At 48.5% G+C, this 20,012-nt stretch overlaps 1 protein-coding gene across 2 annotated transcripts in view, besides 2 other annotated features; it reads left to right on the top strand.

Moving 5' to 3' along the window:
* Positions 1,187 to 2,136: an enhancer, noted in NCBI's record as "H3K4me1 hESC enhancer chr18:44237431-44238380 (GRCh37/hg19 assembly coordinates)". NCBI's record gives its function as "activates a minimal SCP1, AML or CMV promoter by ChIP-STARR-seq in naive H9 embryonic stem cells {active_cell/tissue: H9 hESC(naive)}" and the evidence as "EXISTENCE:reporter gene assay evidence [ECO:0000049][PMID:30033119]".
* Positions 1,327 to 1,376: an enhancer, noted in NCBI's record as "active region_13280". NCBI's record gives its function as "activates an Ori minimal core promoter by ATAC-STARR-seq in GM12878 lymphoblastoid cells {active_cell/tissue: GM12878}" and the evidence as "EXISTENCE:reporter gene assay evidence [ECO:0000049][PMID:35858748]".
* LOXHD1 (lipoxygenase homology PLAT domains 1) overlaps positions 2,384 to 20,012 on the top strand; it is a 180,260-nt gene continuing 162,631 nt past the window's right edge. For both annotated transcript variants that reach the window (NM_144612.7, NM_001384474.1), the window contains exons 1-4: positions 2,384 to 2,700; positions 10,335 to 10,449; positions 17,568 to 17,648; positions 19,804 to 19,988. In NM_144612.7, coding sequence (NP_653213.6) covers positions 2,571 to 2,700; positions 10,335 to 10,449; positions 17,568 to 17,648; positions 19,804 to 19,988 — 511 coding nt within the window. In that variant the 5' untranslated portion in view covers positions 2,384 to 2,570. The remainder of the gene's footprint in view (positions 2,701 to 10,334; positions 10,450 to 17,567; positions 17,649 to 19,803; positions 19,989 to 20,012) is intronic.

Here is a 20,012-nt window from a genome sequence, read left to right as displayed (position 1 = left end):
TACCAAGGAGTGGAATTTCTGGGTTGCATGGGAAGTATTTGCTTTGCTTTATTTTCCAAAGTGGCTGCACCATTTTACACTCCAACTAGCAGTATGAGAGTTCTGGCTGCTCATGTCCCTATGAACTCTTGGTATTTGTGAGGGTTAATTTTTGGTGTCAACATGACTGGTTGTGCCCTCAATGTGGGTGGGCACCATGCAATCGGCTGGGGGCCCCGACAGAACAAAGAGGCAAAGGAAAGGTGAATGTTTTATCTCTCTCCTGGAGCTGGGACACCCTTCTTCTCCTGTCCTTGGGCATCAGAACTCTAGGTTCTCCAGTCTTTGGACTCTGGGACTTGCTCCATCACCCGCTCACCACCAGGTTCTCAGGTTTTGGGCCTGAGACTGAGAATTACACCACGGGTTTCCCAGGTTCCCAGGCCTTCAGACTTGGACCCACCACACTACCAGCCTTCCTACGTCTCCAACGTGCAGACTGCCTGTTGTGGGACTTCTCGGCATCCATAATCCCATGAGTCAACGCCCCTAGTAAGCCTCCTGTCATATATCTACTGATCTGTATATCCTAGTGGTTCTGTCTGTCTGGAGAACCTTGAAATAATACAGAAATAATATAGAATTATTTCCCTGACCTCCTAGCCAGTGTGTTCCAGTACCATGGGATTCTCTAAAAATATTTTGATTTCAGCTTTTAAAGTTCTAAGAAACAGCCGGGCGCGGTGGCTCACGCCTGTAATCCCAGCACTTTGTGAGACCGAGGTGGGCAGATCTCGAGGTCAGGAGTTCGAGACCAGCCTGACTAACATGGTGAAACCCTGTCTCTACTAAAAATACAAAAATTAGCTGGGCATGGTGGCGTATGCCTGTAATCCCAGCTACTCGGGAGGCTGAGGCAGGAGAATCACTTGAACCCGGGAGGCGGAGGTTGCAGTGAGCCGAGATCACACCACTGCACTCCAGCCTGGGCGACAGAGGGAGACTCCGTCTCAAAAAAAATTCTAAGAAACGTTTTATTATCTTTTCCCTGAATGGGTACTCGTGTAAAATGAGTTTTCTTAGTAGATTCCTAGAGATCCTTAAGGAAGGTCTCTTCCTGAAGAATCCAGGTGTGTAAACCACATATTGCCAGAAGGGGGCGCGCGCCACCCACCATTAAACTTCACTCCTGGTCCTCAGAGGACTTTGAGCTGCTTCAAGGGCGGCCCCTCAGCTGAATAGGGGAAGAGGGGAGGTTGATCTTTCCTGGGTAGGAACGTTCGGGGTTAGAGATGCCTCCCCCTAGTGGAAGATTTGGATGGCTCCAAAGAGCAGGGCAGGACCAAAGCTGCCCCAGGCTGCCGGGGAGGCCTGTGAGTGCCGACTGCTCCTCAGGCGTCCGCTCCAAATCCTCTCTTCCTCTCCACCTGAAATTCCCCTTTAGAGTCACTATTTTGGCTTAGAGGACAAAATCACACGTGTTGCTTCTAGAGGACTCCTGTTAGCACACCTAAGTTACCTGAGAAGCGATTCAGGGACCCTCAACATGGCTGCACATGAAAGTCACCAGGAGCTTTAAAAACTGGGGCCCAAGCTGCGTCCCAAACCAAGCAAATCAGAATCCTTGGGGATGGGACCCACGCATTAGCGTTCAACACCTCTCTGGGGGCTTCTGGTGTGCAGCCCGGGCTGTGCGCCCTGGGGTAGGAGCTTGCTGATGCCCTCCCGTGAGTCCAGGTGGTGAGCTGATCTAGTTAGTGAGTTCACCTGGGAGGGCATCGGCTACGATGATGTTTAAACTTTAGTGCATATAAAGCTCACCTGGCAGGGGGAGCGGGGAGAGTTTTCTGGTGCCCTAGCTTTCCTCGTGCCCAGAGGCCACTTCCGGAAGCCCGCAGTCTTGATGAGATGGAAGCAGAGAGAGAGAACGAGAAGGATCCAGCGAGAACCCCGCCTGCTCCGTAAGACGATCAGAGGTCATGAATAATGGAGAGAAACGGGGGCCTTTGAGTCCTGGGAGCCTGGCTGATTCCGGGGCCCCGCCTTCCTCAGGAGGGTCCCGTGTGGGCTGTAAGGCTTGGGAGATCTCCTGGGTGAGGAGCCCTCACCTGTCCCTGGGGTGGCCTGGAGGGATCCCAGGTGACCCCCTGGCTGTGAGGCCAGGTGGGAAATGGACTTCAAGGGCTCCGTGTCACCTGATTCTCCATAGGGAGGAGAGAGGGCTGGTGGGGAGGGGAGAGAGGAAGGAAGTCAGCCTGCCCTCAGCGCCATGAATAAGTGATGAGGCCCAAAGAGAAGCCCCGGGGCAGGTACAGAGGAGGAGGAGGTGGCTCACCAGAGGGTGGTGGGAGGGGACAGGGACAGGAGGTTCAGAGATAAGGCACTGAGGTTCAGCTCAGGAGCCAGAGAAGGCAGAGGGAACAGCACCTTGGGCACGGGGAAGCCAAGAAAACGGGGCACTCTGGCCCACCCAGGCCTGAGCTATAGGAGGGCCGTGGGCGCCAGAGCTCAGGGAGGAGGTCTCAGGTTCCCGCAGGTGTGAGGAGGCGGCACAGTGAGCCTGCGAGCGCTGGGAGAAGGCAGCCGACAGAATGATGCCCCAGAAGAAAAGGCGGAGGAAGAAGGACATCGACTTCCTGGCCCTGTACGAAGCGGAGCTGCTGAACTACGCCTCGGAGGACGACGAGGGGGAGCTGGAACACGAGTACTACAAGGCCAGAGGTGCGGGGTCCCAGCCTGCGGGGGGCGGGTGGTGCAGCTGGCTGCGGTGGGCAGGGGTCTGTTCCTGTCTATGGGGAGTCATTCTAAGATTTCGGAGCAAGCCCTTCCTCACTGATTATCCCATGTGTCTGTTCCATATCCCCTCGGAGTAAGAAGGCAGGCATTATGCAGGGATGGTGGGGTCCCTGTTGTACAGACAGGTGGAGCAACTTGCCTTTAGCCCCCGATTCTCAGTGGAACAGAATAGACTAGAGCCACAGTGCCCCCATGGCCCCATGTTCTCCAGCTCCTGAACATCCCCAAAGCCACGTTCCAGTCTGGTCCCCGAGTAGGTGGTCTGCATCAGGCAGAGCGCCCTGAACTGCTGGGGTCATGAAAGGATGTCTTGGGGAGGAAGCCTGACAGCTCATCCTATGCCCACTGTGGTTGATGGAGACAGGGAGCCTGGGGCTTTGCAAGGAGATGTCCATCCCATATGTCGAAGGCGGCCGGTGCTCTGGACCCCAGGGCCTTGTCCTTCTAGTCTCATCTTTCCCTGGGCCACATGAGACCTGCTTGAAATTGCTCTAACTCCTTGCCAGGTAAACCAAAGAAGTGAACTGTGACCCTAGAGCTGGTTTTGGCCAGCAGAGTTTAAGTTGTTTTTTTCCTTTCCAGCGTTTTGAAATCCTTTTTTCTGTGAATGCCAATAGGCTGTGGACGTCCAGCTTATCACAGTCTCCACCACTCCCTGTCATCTCATACTAGGTCTGGTTTACTCATCAGTGCTGCCTGCCTAGTCTCTGAAGCCATTTAAATTCTCAATGCTGACTCCAAAGTGGCTCACCAGTCCCCGTAAGCGCCATAGTCATCCATGCATTCACTCATTCATTCATTCAGCAAGTATTTATTGAATGTGTGCTCTGTGCCTGCCCATGGCCTTGTTTGTCTTCCCCTTTCTCCCTCTTCCTGTCCTCACTCTGAAAGCCCAGTTCTGATCCCATCTCTTCCATGAAGCCCTCCTTGATTCCAGTCCACCATGAGTTCCCTGATTACATCCAATTCATAATTGTTCCATTGTTTCCTGCAAAGCTTGTCCAGCTGTGTCCGGCTTGCAGCCACAGTCACCCTAAACTCCGTGAGGGTGGGGCCTTGCTGTACTTGTCTTTAGTCCTCATCATTCAGCCCCTGCACAGTCCTGGGCTTAGAGGAGGTAGTCTCAGCTGAGATCAGGAAGGCTGTGGCCCCTTTCCAGGTACAGAATCCTGGGTACCTCCAAGGGTAGAAGGGGGGGCTGTAGTAGGAGGAAGTGGGCCCAGGAAAAAGGAAGCATCCGCCACCTTCTAACAGTACATGTGCCTCAAGCTCTGACCCTCTTGTGAGGGGAGGGGCTGGGAGGTGAGACATCAGGGCAGCATCCCCACCATGTGTGCTTGGCTTCCCAGGTGATTCTCCCCAGCCACGTGACTGTTGGTGAGATCATTCTAGAACCTCTCACAGCCAGCAGCACACTGTTGACTTCTGTTTACGGGCTCTGCATGCCTCAGTGTGGCCATAATGATCGTTCTCCTTTTTATCCTTTCAGAAGCCTTTTTACTAATGTTCTCATGTTTGATCCTTAAGATCCCTGAGCACAGTCAAGGCAGGCGGATCAGCACCACTTCACAAGTTAAAGACTGAGGCCCTGAGACATTAAGTGACTTGAGCAAGGTCACAAACAGGATGGACAACAAGAACCTCAAATATCTTTTTCGAGGCAAGCGCCCCATTTCATCTCATGATGCTGCCAAATAGGATCATGCACCATGCACCAGGCACTGAGTTAAGCACTTTATTCATGTTAACTAATTTCATCTTCATGATGACACATTGCAGCAGATGTGTTATCCTTTTTTTTCAGATGAGGAATCTGAAGCACAGAGAAGTTAAGTAACTTGCCCAAGATCACACAGCTAGCAAATAGCAGAGTTAGGATTTGAATCCAGCTGGTCTGGCTGGTCCTTGGTCTTGTACTGCCCGATTTTGACTGTGGTAAAAATAGCTGGAGAAGAGCAAGTGGAGGTGGGTGCCACGCTGACATTTCTAAGGGAACCATGGATTCTCCTGTCTGTTGCAGGGTACTGCCTATAAATGTGGATGATGCTAACGGTGGTCACATGCTGAGCTCCAGCTGTACTGTCATTGTCACCCTCTCAGTGCTAGAACAACGGTTCCCCCACTTCCTTTGAACTCTGGGCTCTGGTGTTACGTGGAGAGTCTTGATGAGTGTGATGGGGAGGAAGAAGGAGGGAAGAAAAGCCTAGGTGTTCCTTCTCTCTTCTTAGGCTACCTTCTGGCTACCCTGGGATTCCCCAATAACCAGAGGGAGGAGAGCAGCTCCCTCAATGCTTTGAGGGCAGGCTGAACGTGGCACATTGCTCTCTCTCCTAAGACAGGGCCCATGATGGGAAGAATAACTCATTCCAGAACTGGAGAGTAGAAGGGGGCCTCAGAGGCCACCCTGCACAGGCTTCCAGCCCCGGAGGCATCTCCTCTCCTGCATCCTAGACAGGAGTCCCCCAGCATCTGTTGGGATGCAATTTTCCAAGGCAGCTTCCTTGGGGATGTTGTCAATGGAAATGATAGCAATGATTTCTCTCTTAGTCCATTGGTGCTGCTATGCCAGAATACCTGAGACTGGTGATTTATAAAGAACATATTTTTTTTTCTTCCTCAAAAATTCTGGAGGCTGAGAAGTCCAAGATCAAGGTGCCAGTATCTGGTGAGAACTTTCTTGCTGTGTTCCCACATGGCAATAGGCAGAAGGACAAGCCCCTTTATAACGGCACCCAATCCCTTTCACGAGGGGGAAGCTCTCATGGCCTAATCACCTCTTAAAGGCCCCACCCCTTAATACTATCACAATGGCAACACCTGAATTTTGGAGGGGACATATTCAAACTATAGCAATGGTGATGATGATGATAGTAACCACTTATGAAATGCCTATCTTTTCATGCAACTGTGGAAGAATGCCTATAAGGTAAATTCCCAGAAATGTAACTTCTAGGTCAATGAGTTTAAGAGTTGAAAGCTATTTTACTTAATCCTTATCACAGTCCTTCAAGGAAGAATTTATTCCTACTTCAGAGATGAGGAAATTGAAGCTTAGTAAACCATTTGGTTGAAATCACATAGCCAATAATGGTAGAACTGGGCTTCAAATCCTGGTCAGTTTTGTTCCATATTTATTCATTGATTGTTTCATTCATTCATATGATCATTCATCCAGATAATTATTTGACTGTCTCTCATGTGCTGGGCTGTTGCTAAGAGCAACAGATTGACAATTGTTTGTGCTGACTTGGAAACTTTATTAGTGGGGGTCTTCCCATCTGGAGTTCAACAGAATTCTGTGTCCTCCACAAGGTATCTGTCTTCTACAAGATAGTTCTTCAGTTATTTGAATTGAGTTTTTCTTTAAGTTAAAATTTTAAACTTGAGCAATATTGTATATACAGAACAAAACTTATGAAGGTACGTTTACATATGCACATGCCTGTGCAACCAGTATTCAGATCAGAATATGAAATATTTCCAGCCCCCAGAATGCTCCTTCACACCCCTTCTCAGAGGCGACAAATCTCCCGATTCTGTCATCATAGATTAGTCTTTTTCCTGTTCTTAAACTTTTTTTTTGAGATGGAGTCTCGCTCTGTCACCCAGGCTGGAGTGCAGTGGCGTGATCTCGCCTCACTGCAACCTCTGCCTCCCAGGTTCAAGCAATTCTCCTGCCTCAGCGTCCTGAGTAGCTGGAATTACAGGTGTGCGCCACCACGCCTGGCTAATTTTTGTATTTTTAGTAGAGACGGGGTTTCACCACGTTGGTCAGCCTGGTCTTGAACTGACCTCATGACCTGCCTGTCTCGGCCTCCCAAAGTGCTAGGATTACAGGTGTGAGCTACTGCTCCTGGCCTGTTCTTGAACTTTTAAATGGAACCATACAGTGTGCACATTTGTGTGGGTCTAGCTTTTCTTTCAGCGTTATATCTGATTTATCCACGTGTGACACAATATATAGTTTGTTCTTTTTTATTGCTGATTACTATTGCATTTGATACATACACCACTGTCTACTTAGCCATTCCATTGTCAATGAACATCTGGGTTATTTCTGGGGTTTTGTTTTTGTTTTTTTGCTATTACAAGTCAAGCTACTACAAATCTGGTACACATATTCTGATGAACACATGTACTTGTTTCTCTTAGATTTATAATTGGAAGTGGAATTGCTGGGTCACAAGTGAGCATATGTTTAGTTACCAGTGCTTGGATCAATTTACATGTATGAGAGTGACAATGGCTCCACCTTCTTGCCCATACTTGGTATTGTCAGTCTTCTTATTTTTAGCCATTCTGGTGGGTACATGGCAGTGTCTCATTGTAGTTTTAATTTGCATTTCCCTGATAAATAGGCAGAGAACTTTTCCATATGTCTATTGGCTATGTGGCTATCCTCTTTTGTGGTATGTCTGTTTGAGTCTTTTGTCCATTTTTCAACTTCAATGAGGTATAATTTATTTATAATAAAATACACCTATTTTAAATGTTCTGTTTGGTGAGTTCTACATTCTTGCATCCACTAGGAAATCAATTCATGGACCATTTAAATTGGCCCTCAAGGGTTCCCTGTGTTCCTTCCCAGTCAGTCCCCCCTACTTCTGACCCCAGGCAACCACATTTCTGCTTCCTGCTACAATAGATTAGATTGGTCTCTTCTAGAGTTTCATATAAATGACATGATAAAGTATGTTGTGTTTTGTGTCTGACTTGTGCATAGAATGCACTTGAGAGTCATCTGTATTGTGCATCAGGAGTTCATTTTGTTTTATTGCTGAGTAGCATTCTGTTGTACAGATATACCACAGTTCGTTTATCTATGCCCCTGTTGATGGGCGTTTAGGGTGTTTCCAGTTTGGGTCTATTAGGAATAAAGCTGTTATGAACATTTGTGTGCAGGTCTTTGTGGGAACACACTTTCATTTCTCTTGGGTAAAGACTTAAAAGTGGAATTTCTGGGTATTAAGTGTACACTTATCTTCTTAAAAACTTGTTGCCCATTGAAAAAATAGTGTGGTTCCCTCCTTTACTTATTGATTGATGTGAATTTTTGGTATCTTCTGGCTCTGAGTGCTTTGTTGGATATACGCATTCCAAATACCTTCCCTAGTCTCTGGCTTGCCTTTCTCTCGATGGTCTCAATTTTAATGAAGTCCAATTTGTCAGTTTTTTTTAATGGTTTGTGTCCATTTAAGAAGTAGCTGTGCATCCCAGAATCAACTATTGACTAGTTTTTCATTCCTCTCCTATGCCTCTCCAATGCTCCTCTCCTTTTCTCCAAACCAAGCATTCTCCGGTGTCTATGTCTTCTCTCATGTGGTGTGGCTCTAGAATTTCCACCAGGCTGGAAATCCTGTGGGCATTTGGTTTGGAAATGCCTTTATGTGCAAGCTGTGTGGGCAACATGTCAGGTCCCAGGTCTGTGCTGAGAGGAGTCAGGAGTGGGCTCCGGGGGTTGATCAGCCTCCCTGTGGTATAGACTATTAAGAATTAAGGCTTTGGTTATCACAAAAGACAAGGAGTTGTGCAAATATATGGCTGCTTTTCTCCCCCTAATGGTGCCTCGATGGGGACCTTCATCAGAACCAAGGAGATCAAAAGGTCCACTCACCCCAAAACACTCCTGATCCTGGTGCCTCACAGGCCTGTAAGGACCACATGAGAATGAGAGGTCTCCTGCAGGGCTTCTGGAATATCTGTGGATCGTGTGCATGTTAGTTGAGCTACATCTAATCTGCCAAAAGAACAAACTCTTAGCTCTCAAAGTTGAAATAGGCTTTTCCGTATGAACGGTAGTTTTAAAACCAGGTTACTATTTGTTGAGTTTCTTCTGTGTGCCAGAGGCTTTTCATACATCATCTCTAATCCCCAGAATGCCCTGCAAACCAGGTAAGATCGTTCAGGTGTTACAGAGAGGCTGGCACTTGTCCAGGGTCACCTTGCTCAAAGTGGAGGAGCCAATGGCTGCATCCAGGTCTCTGTGGCTCTGGAGTCCAGTACTTTCTACCAGCCCACACTGGCTCTGGGCATGCTGAAGTATGAATGATATCTGTAAAGTACCTGCCAAGGTGCCTAGCACACAACACTCCACGTTATTTATGTTTTTCCTTCCTCCCCCATTCTCCCTCACACTTTGCCACTTGTGCCCTCTGTGGAATGGGCTCTGAATTGACAGGTTTGAATAACGAATGTCTAACTTCAAAATATCCTCCTAATCAGCTGGGCGTCTTTGGGGCCACTCAAATATACTCAGCATCTGGTTGGGGATCTGCTCTGAAAAGACCGGAAGTAGAAATAACTATAGGTTTACCGTGATAATCAGGTACAATCATACATGTAAGCCCTTAGCTCAGGGCATACAGTAAGCAACCACTCAATGTTGTTTATTACTACAATTATTAAGTACTTGTATTAATACAATCCAGTGATGTGGTGGACATAGATCATATGCCCCAAATATTTAAAACACCCTCCCCACATTTTGCTGACTCTCCACATTGTAAATTCCATCTTCCCAACGTGGAATTATTATTTTCTCAGCCTACTTTGGTACAGACATGTACCTTAGATTTCCAGAACTGGCTGTTCCAGTGCAAGATTTTGACTCAGAAGTGAAAATCTCATAATGGAATGAGCTGGGGACAAGGAATTATTTTGGAGACATGAGTAGCAGAAGGACAGGGAGGTGATGGTGGGCTGTTTTCTGCTCTTGGCGGAGGGGATGTGGCTCTAGGGTGGCTGGTGGCAGCAACCTTCCCCAGGCTAGTTCTGTGCTGTGATTCCAGGAGTTGCTTCTGGAAATGGGTATAGAGCACATGCCTCCAGCCTTTCCAAAACTTCTGCAAGCCTTCTAATATCTCTATTGCATCCTGCTTGCTTCACTTGGCTAGAGTAGATTCTGCTGTCTCTAAGAATCCAGATGCATTCTTGCCTTCTCTCTCCAGGAAGTCGATAGGGCTATAATTGTACTGATGCCCTGAATAAGAAAGGTGTTGACAGTAAACAGAATAAGCTTCAAGGGTTTGAGGAGACAGAAATCAGAGCCCCTGCCAAAGAAGGACCCCCTGCAAAGCTCTGCACACCCAGCCCTGGGACGGCTTATTCTGAGACTGAAATGTCAGTGCCCAGGAGGTCATGGGAGGTGAGGGCTGGCCACAGTCACCTTGTGTAGAGGGCAGAGAGGAAGCTGGGAGCTGGGTGCAGGCTCTGAAGAAGGCCATGTCTAGGAGGGTATCAGTGTGTTGTGCTGGAAAGATTACAGAATGGGCATCTGGAGGCTTTGGGCCGGGCTCTGGTGTTGATAACGTGCAGGACCTGCCCTCTTGCCCTCAGCCTCCTCGTGTGCAAAACGAGTGCATGGTTTAAATGTGAAGTTTTGATCTTGCAGCAGGACATATCGTGGGTCTCACCATGGCTCAGAGGCCTACAGGATGCAGCAGGGATTCCAAGAGTCCTTTGTGCTTGGGCCTCCCCAGCAAGGGCTGGATTCTCCAGGCCCACACAGGATTCCGGTTTTTTTCTGAGCCTGCAATCTGTCTCCTCCTCTCCTCCTCCAGTGTATGAAGTGGTCACAGCCACGGGGGATGTTCGCGGTGCAGGGACGGATGCCAATGTCTTCATCACGCTTTTTGGAGAGAATGGGCTCTCTCCCAAGCTCCAGCTCACCAGCAAGTGAGTACCCACTTGGCCTTGGTGGGATCCTGGGCCATTAGTCCTGTTGATTAGGTTCTGGGACCCAAGGGTGGCCTGCTTCTCTGGGGAGAAGGCACATCTGACCACAGGTTATTAAGTGGTATGAAGCCTCTGCTAATGACAGACCGTGTACCAGCTGGGGATCCCCCGGTGCACCTCCCTCAGCTCCTCTCTTGATTCTTTTGGACGGTAATGCCTCCTATGGATCTCAGAATTCCCAAGAATCCATATTAGCTGTCCCATATTAGCTGTTCCTTAGTTCCGTGTGACTTTGGCCCAGTCTCTCTGCACTCGGGGCCTTGGTTTCCTCATATATCATCACACAGATATCGGGAAGACCATACATCTGAGGGAGCTGTGAGCATAAAATACAAGGTCTCACCAGGGACCAGTGTTGTGTTAAACCTGCCTGCCAGCCATTGCACACTCAGCTAGCCGCAGGGATTGCTTGTGTGTGTGCTTGTGCGTGTGTATGCCTTGTGTGCTCTTTTTTATTATAACTAGTGAGAGTTGGGACCGTTGTCTCCTTCGGATCCTTTCCCCCCACTGCATGCACGCATACACCAACATACATGCAAAACCTGAGAACATGTTAGCAGACGACTGGAATTTCAGAGACGTTTTGGGCCTCAGGAGTGGTCTGTTCAGCTGGTTTTCAAACTGTGCTGAATGGAACAGAATTGATCAGCTGGTCTGAGTCCATGAAACATTTGAAAACTGCTGCTCTATTCTAATCTGCTCATGGGGAAACCAAAGCCTGGAAAGGCATGAGTAGCTCAGAGTCATGGAGCTTTTCAATGGTGAAGCTCGTCCTTAAACCCCACGTTTTTTTTTGTTTGATTGTTTTTTGTTTTTGTTTTTGTTTTGTTTTGTTTTGAGATGGAGTCTCGCTCTGTCGCCCAGGCTGGAGTGCGGTGGTGCAATCTCAACTGACTGCAACCTCCACCTCCCAGGTTCAAGCGATTCTCCTGCCTCAGCCTCCGGAGTAGCTGGAACTACAGGCGTGTGCCACCATAACCGGCTAATTTTTCATATTTTTAATAGAAACGGGGTTTCACCATGTTGGCAAGGCTGGTCTTGAACTCCTGGCTTTAAGTGATCTGCCCGTTTCAGCCTCCCAAAGTGCCAGGATTACAGGTGTGAGCCACTGTGCCTGGCCTTCAAACCTCACATTATTGATGTAGACATTTCCCTTGACCACATGACCCTATGGTCCCAGGGAGTGTGCTCCTTAAGGGAGTGTGTCCCAGGAAGATGCTCCTTAAGACATCCTGGGGCTCCAGATTGTGACCCTGGGGTTAATGACCTGCCACTTCCAGGGCTGGCAGAGGAAGCTGTAGAAGCCAGGAGATCCCTGCACCCTGTACCTTGGGGGCTGGCCAGGCCCCACGTGACATGGGCTATAGCGTCCATGCTGCTGCATCGAGGCAGGTATAACGTCCCATTTTATCCATTTCCACAGAACAGGGTACCTGCCTTCTTGTACCGCTTACACTGCAGTTTGACTCGCTTGCAGAAGTCTTTCCGTCCGATGATGTGGGCACGGTAAAGAGAATACATGAAACCTCCATCCTCTTTGCCATGTGTTCCCAGAGTGCACTGCTGTAGGGAGAAGCCTCAAACACTAGGGAGTCGCCCGGTTGGTTTCTGAAGTTCCCAGCTTTTCCTTTTAAAACAAAATGAATCCTTTTCTCCTTTGATGGTGGTCCTAACTGCCTTCCCTCCTTTCACACATTCAGCATCCTCAGATTCTTCCCCTTTTTCATTTGTCAAAAGGTCTTCTCAGGAAGGGCCCCTGAGCCACCCTTTATAACATGGCATGGATTTCCACTGAGCCTCCATTCCCAGGAGTTCGGGTTCCAGCCTTCCCTCTCATGGGGTCTGAAGGGGGTCTAGGGCATGAATGAGCTGGCAGGGCTGGGACCTCCTGGCTTTGCTGAGATCCCATGGGGCAGCCAGCTTCTCCTGGGCAGCCCTGAGGATGGGAATCAACCCTCCCCAATTACCCCAGGGGTTGGCCCCAGAGACTGGTGGTAGTCTCTGCCTATATATGGACCATGTTCCAGGTTGGGCAGCAAGAGCATAGGTCTGGCCAGGGCCCCAATCCAGCTGGTCAGGAGTGCTCTAGAGCAGAATGGGTGGTCTCAGTGATGGGGACACAGTTCGGAGTTCCAGCTGTGGGGCTGGAGAGGGGCTTCGAGGAGTGATGGAGGGAGCTGGAGGATGGCCTGGGGGAAGGTCTGCTCTGTGCTGCCAGCATCTCTCCCAGTTCTGTGTATATAGTCAGAGCTCGGCAAAGGCCAGTGGTATCAGTGTGGCTAGAGCGAGACTTTAAAGGGACAGACACTTAATCTGGGTCTTAAGTGGTGAAAATAACTCAGATGAGAGAGGAAGAAAGAGGGTCCTTTAGACTGAGGGGAACAGATTGCCAAAGTCTGGAGGCAGCAATGAGCGCTGCGGGCTGATGGGGGCAGAGGAGGCCTGTAGCTGGGAATGTGGGGCCATGTTGATGGGCAGGGAGGGGGAAAGTCAGAAAGGTCTGGAAGGCCAGGCTGAAGAAGGCCTTGCTGGAAAGCTGACCGGTGGAGTTTCAACTTACCGTATCAACAGAGATCATCTGAGCACAGTGAGCAGGACGAGTGGGGAAGGAGGAGGCCAGAGTCTGGCTGTGACAAGAACTGAGAAAAGGCCTTCAAAGAGCATTGAAGGACATGGTCCTTGCTATCTAAGACCTTTCTATTCAAGATGGAAACTGCAGGTCTGGGAGGGGCATTGCTTTCTGAGGAATTCCAGGCTGCCCATGCAACCCAGAACATATGGCAGCTGAGGTCCCCTTGCTCCGTGAGGTCTAGATGCAGTTATCTCAGGCCATCGGCTGCCCCACCCCATCCTGGGATCTGGCTGAGAATATCCACTGGTCCCACAGTCTCCTCGCACCTCACTGTCTGCTGCCCTCCCATCCCCTCCACACTGTGTTATCCAAACCCAAACCTCCAGGGGCAGCTAGAACCAACTGCATTTTCCTTGCTCACCTATAATACACACACACATGCATATTTGTGTGTAACACACTTCACTGATAGCCCCTGGCCCCAGAGAGAGTTCACACTGCAGCAATGCAAACAACTTAAAAAGGAATATTAGAGCCTCAGTCTTACAGCTCGGCCATCCTCTTTCATGGTGTTTCTCCTGACCTGTCCTCCGTGATCTCTCGTCATGTCTCATCCCACCTCTCCCTCCTGCTTCTCCCACATTCTCTTTCTTCTTTCTCACCCCTCAATTCTTGTCATTCTTGTGCCTTTCCTTCTGTGCCCCAGGTCTTCACTTTCACTCCCAAATGCTGTATTAGGATTTTTTTTTTTCCTAGTACAGAATAATTCCTTCTCCAAGAGGAACTTCAGTACCAGTGCTGATTTTCTTTGCCTTTGTGGTCTGGTGCCTACATTCCTTGGTACTCAGTGGACTTAGATTCCCCCATTAGTGAACCTCTACCCCGACCCCACCCCAGTTAAGCACCCACAGCAGTGGCTGCCAGAAGAAGGCCCCATCTTCTGGGTTTCCTCGCACTCTTCCCCATTAACCAGGGCCACCTCCAGCTCTGAGTCATGTGTTCAGAATATGGCAAAAGGATGGGATCTCATGTATCGTCTGGAACATGGTTATTTGGTTGAAAATTCACCATCTGAGTGTGTCAGAGAATGCCTGGCATTTTAGCCCGATGGCTCTGCTGGCTGATGGCTAAAATGCCCCGTGCAGCCTGTAAAGGATCTCCGTGTGGGGGTTCCTGCTGAATGGCAGGGGCTGTGCACTGCCTTAGCCTTTATGTGAGAATCGACCAGTGGCCTTGGTGAGGCTCCAGGCTTCTGCAAGGAAACATGAAGATTTCTAAGATTTCCTTTGACCCGAAACCCTCTCTCCTTTCTATTTCTTTCCTACCCCCAGTTTTCTGAAACCCACAGGCATTTGCAATCCAGATGTGAGGATTTCAGAAGCTAATCCTGAGTTGGGGGCTTATTTGGGATGATCCCAGCCCTGACCCTGAGTGAAGGGAATCAGAAGAGCCCTGCCTCTGCCACTCTTTCCTCCTCTTCTTGTGATGTGGAAAGCCTTCCCCTTGTCTTCCAAAAAGAGATTGGTGTCCATCTCATAAGCACTGCGGAACCCAGAAATATTCCAGTGTAGTCCTGAGACAGCGTGGAGCACTCCCTCTGCTCTTGCTCTGTCCATCCTGGTGGATCTTCTCCCTGGTGTCCCTGCTTCCACATACGCTCCTCCCCACCCCCCAGCAAGTGACTATAAAGCGCCATGCCATGGTGGATTGTTTCACAAATGCTTTGGAACGTATGTATTCACGTTCAGCCTGGTCACTGGAAGGTAATGGAGATAACTCACATTTTTTTTTTTCTTTTTTAGAGACAGGGTCTCACTCTGTCACCCAGGCTGGAGTGCAGTGTCAAGATCAAGGCTCACTCACTGCAACCTCAAATTCCTGGGCTCAAGTGATTCTCCCGCCTCAGCCTCCTGAGTAACTGAGACTACAGGTGCACACCACCAGGCCCAGCCAATTTTTAAATTTTTTTGTAGAGCTATCTCTTGCTATGTTGGCCAGGCTGGTCTTCAATTCCCAGCCTCAAATGATTCTCCTGCCTTGGCCTCTCGAGGCACTGTGATTATAGGCATAAGCCATCACATCTGCCACATTCTTAAATGATACCGTCATGGGTGCAGGGCCTTTCTGGAGCTTTCCTTTACTGAATGCAACTGTTGGAGCTTCTTTTCTGGAACTTTCATCAGAAGCACCCCAGAAAGCCAGCTGCTTTCCTTCCAAGTCACACCTTGTCTTTGGCTAAAAATGGGGATACTTCCCTTCCTTTTCCCCTACTTGCTGGCAATGGCTGTTTCTAAAATTTCAGGCACCATCAGAAGATGAAGCCCAGTAATTCCCAAACAGCTTCCAAAGAATTTGATCCAGGCAGCCTGCAGGCTGGGCTGGGGATGGGGGAGTTGCTGAAACATGGGATTGTGCTTTTTTCATAATTACAGAAACAATATGTGTTCCTTTTGGAAAGTTAAAAATGTATATAGACAAGAACAAGGAGCCAACACTTCATAATGGCCTCAACATCTAGACATGATTTTTTAAAAGTAAATCTTCTCACTCCATTGTTTTTAAATGAAGATGGTATCCTGTTTGTATTGATTATTCTGTTTGTACATTCTGGTCTTAACCTACCTTTTCTTTTAAGCCTATATTATAAACCTATTTCTGTTTCATTAAGTATTTTTTTTTACAATAGGATTTTTAATGGTTGCAAAGTATTTCATTATATAGCTTCCCAGGGTGACTGTTTCTTAGGGTGTTTATTTGATGGAGAGGCTTTGTCTATTTATTCTAAAGATCACTTGCCTTGTCTTATATATTGGAAGAGAAAAGCCCTCTTATTCCTTTTTTTTTGTTTCCCATTTATATAATCCTGATGTGCAGAAACAATGTCCACACATTCTCCAAGTTATTGACAGCTGCTGTGACTCTGAACGAAAGCATGGGGTGTGTTGTTATTCTCCTTTGAAAGTGAAATTCCCACATCAGGCAGACCCTCACGATTGCTAGTTTGATTTAGTTCCCTTTAAGTGCTTGGTCTGGTAAGTTATTTTCCTGGGCAGGAGGATTTACTGGTGCTTCGTGGAGAAAACTTTGTATTTTCCTTGCTCTTCATCAGGAGCTAACAGTCGACATTCTCTGTCTTTATTTTGCCAATGGTGGAGTAGAAACTCTGGGCACTTTGCCCTGCTTCCTCCCTCCCTTCCTAAGGTACCTGCAGCAAGCCTGGGTGTCACCCCTTTCACTCCAGCAAACTCAGAAGGTTCTGTGCCTCTCTCCTCCTCATCCTTTGCACCCAGGCTGCATCCTGTGGGGGTCTCTTTTCCCTGACAAGGCTGCCTCCATGTACATTTTTGTCTGGAGTTAAGGAAACTTCTTCCTAGGGCAGATTGTTTGACACCATGAGTCCGTTCACAGAATCACAGCTCCTGGGTTCTGTAGAACCTTAAAAGCCGTCTATTACCAAGAGAGTCTGAGCCTGATGCCTTGGGGAGAAGGCCCTTCCCCTTCCGCTTTATTTTAAAAGACGTCGATGGTGGATAAATCTTCTGTGATGGCACACATCTTCTATGATTTTCCTTTCCCATGAGCTGTGTGCTGTTCCTGAGAGTCCTGGCTGAGAGCGCTGAGTGAGGCCTGCAGCTCTCAGCCCAGTGGGATAAACTGGGGACAGCAAGAGCTGCTGGCAGGCCGGGGCTCAAATGGCAGGGGCCCCGGCCCTGCACACAGGATGGAACAGCTGTTGACATGAGCTTCAAACTTCTGCTCCCAGAGGATTCTGTGGCGAGGCTGCTGCAGCCCTCCTGTGTCTATGCTCACTGTACTTAGGATGCTCCTGAATCTGGACTTGCCTGGCTGCCTCACGGCTGATGTCTCAGGTGTACTTTCTTCTGTTCACACCATTTGCAGGATGCCAGAGATGCACTTCCCTCACTGCCCTACTTCCCTGGCTGTTGGTTTGGGGTTGAGTGTTTTCTTTCTTGTTGGAATGGCAGGACCATGGACTGCCACCCAAGGTCTGCATCTACTTGGGGCTGCCATTGCAACTTTTCCCAGCAAAAGCAAGGCCAGTGATGGGGAGTGGCAAGAAGGCCAAAGAGTCCTAAGGTGTTTATTCCTTCCTTCCTCCTCCATCCACCCAACCCAGAGCAGCCAAAGGGCATGGGGTCATGACTGGGAGAGCCAGGTTCTGGTCCCAGCTCTGCTACCAACTAGCAGTTTGTAAAATGGGGCTGATATTGTCTGTGTGCTTGTTTTAGTGACTCACAGCAAGGATCAAATGAGAACCTGGGTGTGAGGGCACGGAATGATACTAGCAGTCCCTGCCCTCCCCTGGGAACCATGTCAGAAGGGAATCTTGGAATGGGATCTTGTTGCTCATAGCTCTCCCCAGGAGTGGGATGATGGAGGAAGAAGCGGAATGCCAGCCCTTGGCTCTCCTCCCAGGCCTGTGAGCCAACAGCTGATCTGCACTAACTGCACGTGTTCATTGCAGGAGCAAGTCTGCCTTTGAGAAGGGCAACGTCGATGTGTTCCGGGTGAGAACCAACAATGTGGGCCTCATCTATAAAGTCAGGTGAGAAGCTGGCGCCTGACTAGGATTGAGGGTGGAGATGAAAGTGAGGGATTGACTTCAATATTGACAATTTCTGGGTATGAATTACTTCCCAGATGTTATTTGAGGGGCTACCAAAGGCCCAAATCTTTCCCTGTCATCCTGAATCACAGTGCCCTAAACTTCCCCACTGGAGATTCATTTTTTTTGGGTTAAGACATTTCAAGACAAATTTTTACAAACTTGAGAATATGCTGTGAGAGACATTATAGCATAGTGGTTAGGGGCAGAGACTCTGAGTCCAGAGTGCCTGGGTTCAAGTGTCCGTTCTGTTATTTACTAGCTGTGCCACTTTGGACAGGTTATCTCTCCAAACCTCAGTTTCCTCATCTGTAAAAATGGTGCCTCATCGGTGATAACCCTAGGACTCAATGAGTTAGTGCTTGGAACAGTAACTGGCACACAGTAAACACTCAGCAAGTGGTAGAGATACCAAGTCCTGTTGCAGCATGTCTTTGGACAGAGAGCATCCGCAGTCTTGCCCTCTCTGGGGGCTTCTTGTGAAGGTATAAGGAGAGATTACTAGTCCAATGGCAGAGGAAGAGCCTTCAATTGCCTCCCTTTTCCCTTCCTAGTCCCTGCCATCCACCCCTATTCAAGTTCATGCCCATTGTCAGATGTTCATTTGTGGTCTGATTGCACCCAGACTAAGGCTGGACAGGGGTCAAATGCAGCCTCAGTTTAGTCCTGATTTTTTATCCCTTCTGCTAGAAAATACAATATCACGAACTCTCTTTGCTGGGGAAATAAGGGGCACATGAATATCCTGGGTATTGATTAAGTGTAGGGAAGGAGGTTACGAGCAGGGAAAGGGCTCTTGCAGGGGAGATTGGGAAGGGGTGTCATTGTGTGAGTAAAGGCGACCTCTAGCTGAGGTCCTACTATGTGCCAGACTTTGTGCCAGACAGAGGCATACATCCTTCCAAGGGAAGGGCCTGGTGTATCATGGGTTTCATCTGTCTGTTGGGGTTGTGTGCTGTATTGAGCTGTGGTTGTCCTGTTAACAACTGCAAGGATAAAGCCTCACAGGGGTAAGATGTTTGATGCAAAGTGAGGTCCAGGGGTCAAGAAACTGGACGTTGGAGAGGAGATAGAGGGGGCTATGGGAAGTGTTAGAAGATTTTAGGGACAGATTTTGAAGAGTCTGAATCTATACTGCCCAGTGCAGTAGCCCCTGACCATATGTGGCTATTACACTTGAAATGTGGCTAATCCAAATTGAGGCGTGCTACCTATATAAAATACACTGCAGATTTTTGAAGCCTTAGTACAAGAAAAAGAATGAAAAAATAGCTCATTAATACATTTTTACATAATTATATGTTGAGATGGTAAATGGAATTAAATGAAACATATTATTAAAATTCTACCAGTTTCTTTGGATCTTTTTACATGTGGCTATTAGGAAACTTTTAAATTGCATCTGTGGCTCACATGTGTGACTCATGTTATGTCTATGGGACCACCCTGGTCTAGATGGCCATAGGGGTCCTCTGGATTGTAGGACTAAGGGGAGTATCTGCTTGTTGTCCAGGTCCAGGAGTCATGATGAAGAGAGGGACACACTTAATCATCTCACAGCAATGGGAGAGGCGGTTGAGCCCCAGGGTATAAGCTGTGTCCTGTAAATCAGGTGGTCTAGTTGGCTTCTGCTTCCTGGGGATTCCCTTGTCATCTTTTCCCTTTACTGTCCTGTTTGACCTTGACTCAGCTGGATATCAAGAAGTGTTGTGTGTATCCGTGCTTGAGCCAGAGTGGGAGAGGCTCACTGCTTTCAAAGGCCAGGGTAAGGAAACAGACCTGAATAGCCAGGACCTCAAAGGGGAAGATCAAGATGATCCCACGGCAAGCCCTAGGGATCTTGGATTTTCTGTGAAAGGCGATAGTTAATATTTCCTTGCATGCAATATAACAGTGTAACATTCAGTAATGTGCACATCCAGCTTGCAAGGTATCCCCATTTTATAGATGAGGAAACCGAGGTTCAGGAGATAAAGTAACAACAACAACAGAATAATTGGACCTCTCTTTGGAGTAAACATCTGGGTATTCCAGTATGGAAGGGGTGCTGTTTCAGTTCTGCCAGTGATGGTGTGGGCCTTGGCTTCTGCCTCAGGATTGAGCATGACAACACGGGCTTGAATGCCAGCTGGTACCTGGACCATGTGATTGTGACCGACATGAAGAGGCCTCATCTCCGTTACTACTTCAACTGCAACAACTGGCTGAGCAAGGTGGAAGGTGACCGCCAGTGGTGCCGTGACCTGCTGGCCAGCTTCAACCCCATGGACATGCCCAGAGGTCAGTGCCTAGGCTGGCCTGCCT

Source organism: Homo sapiens, chromosome 18 (genome assembly GCF_000001405.40).
Source record: "Homo sapiens chromosome 18, GRCh38.p14 Primary Assembly".
In the NCBI taxonomy this organism is placed as follows: domain Eukaryota; kingdom Metazoa; phylum Chordata; class Mammalia; order Primates; family Hominidae; genus Homo; species Homo sapiens.
The sequence above is the reverse complement of the archived record's forward strand: the minus strand, read 5'-3'. Positions and strand labels throughout refer to the sequence as shown.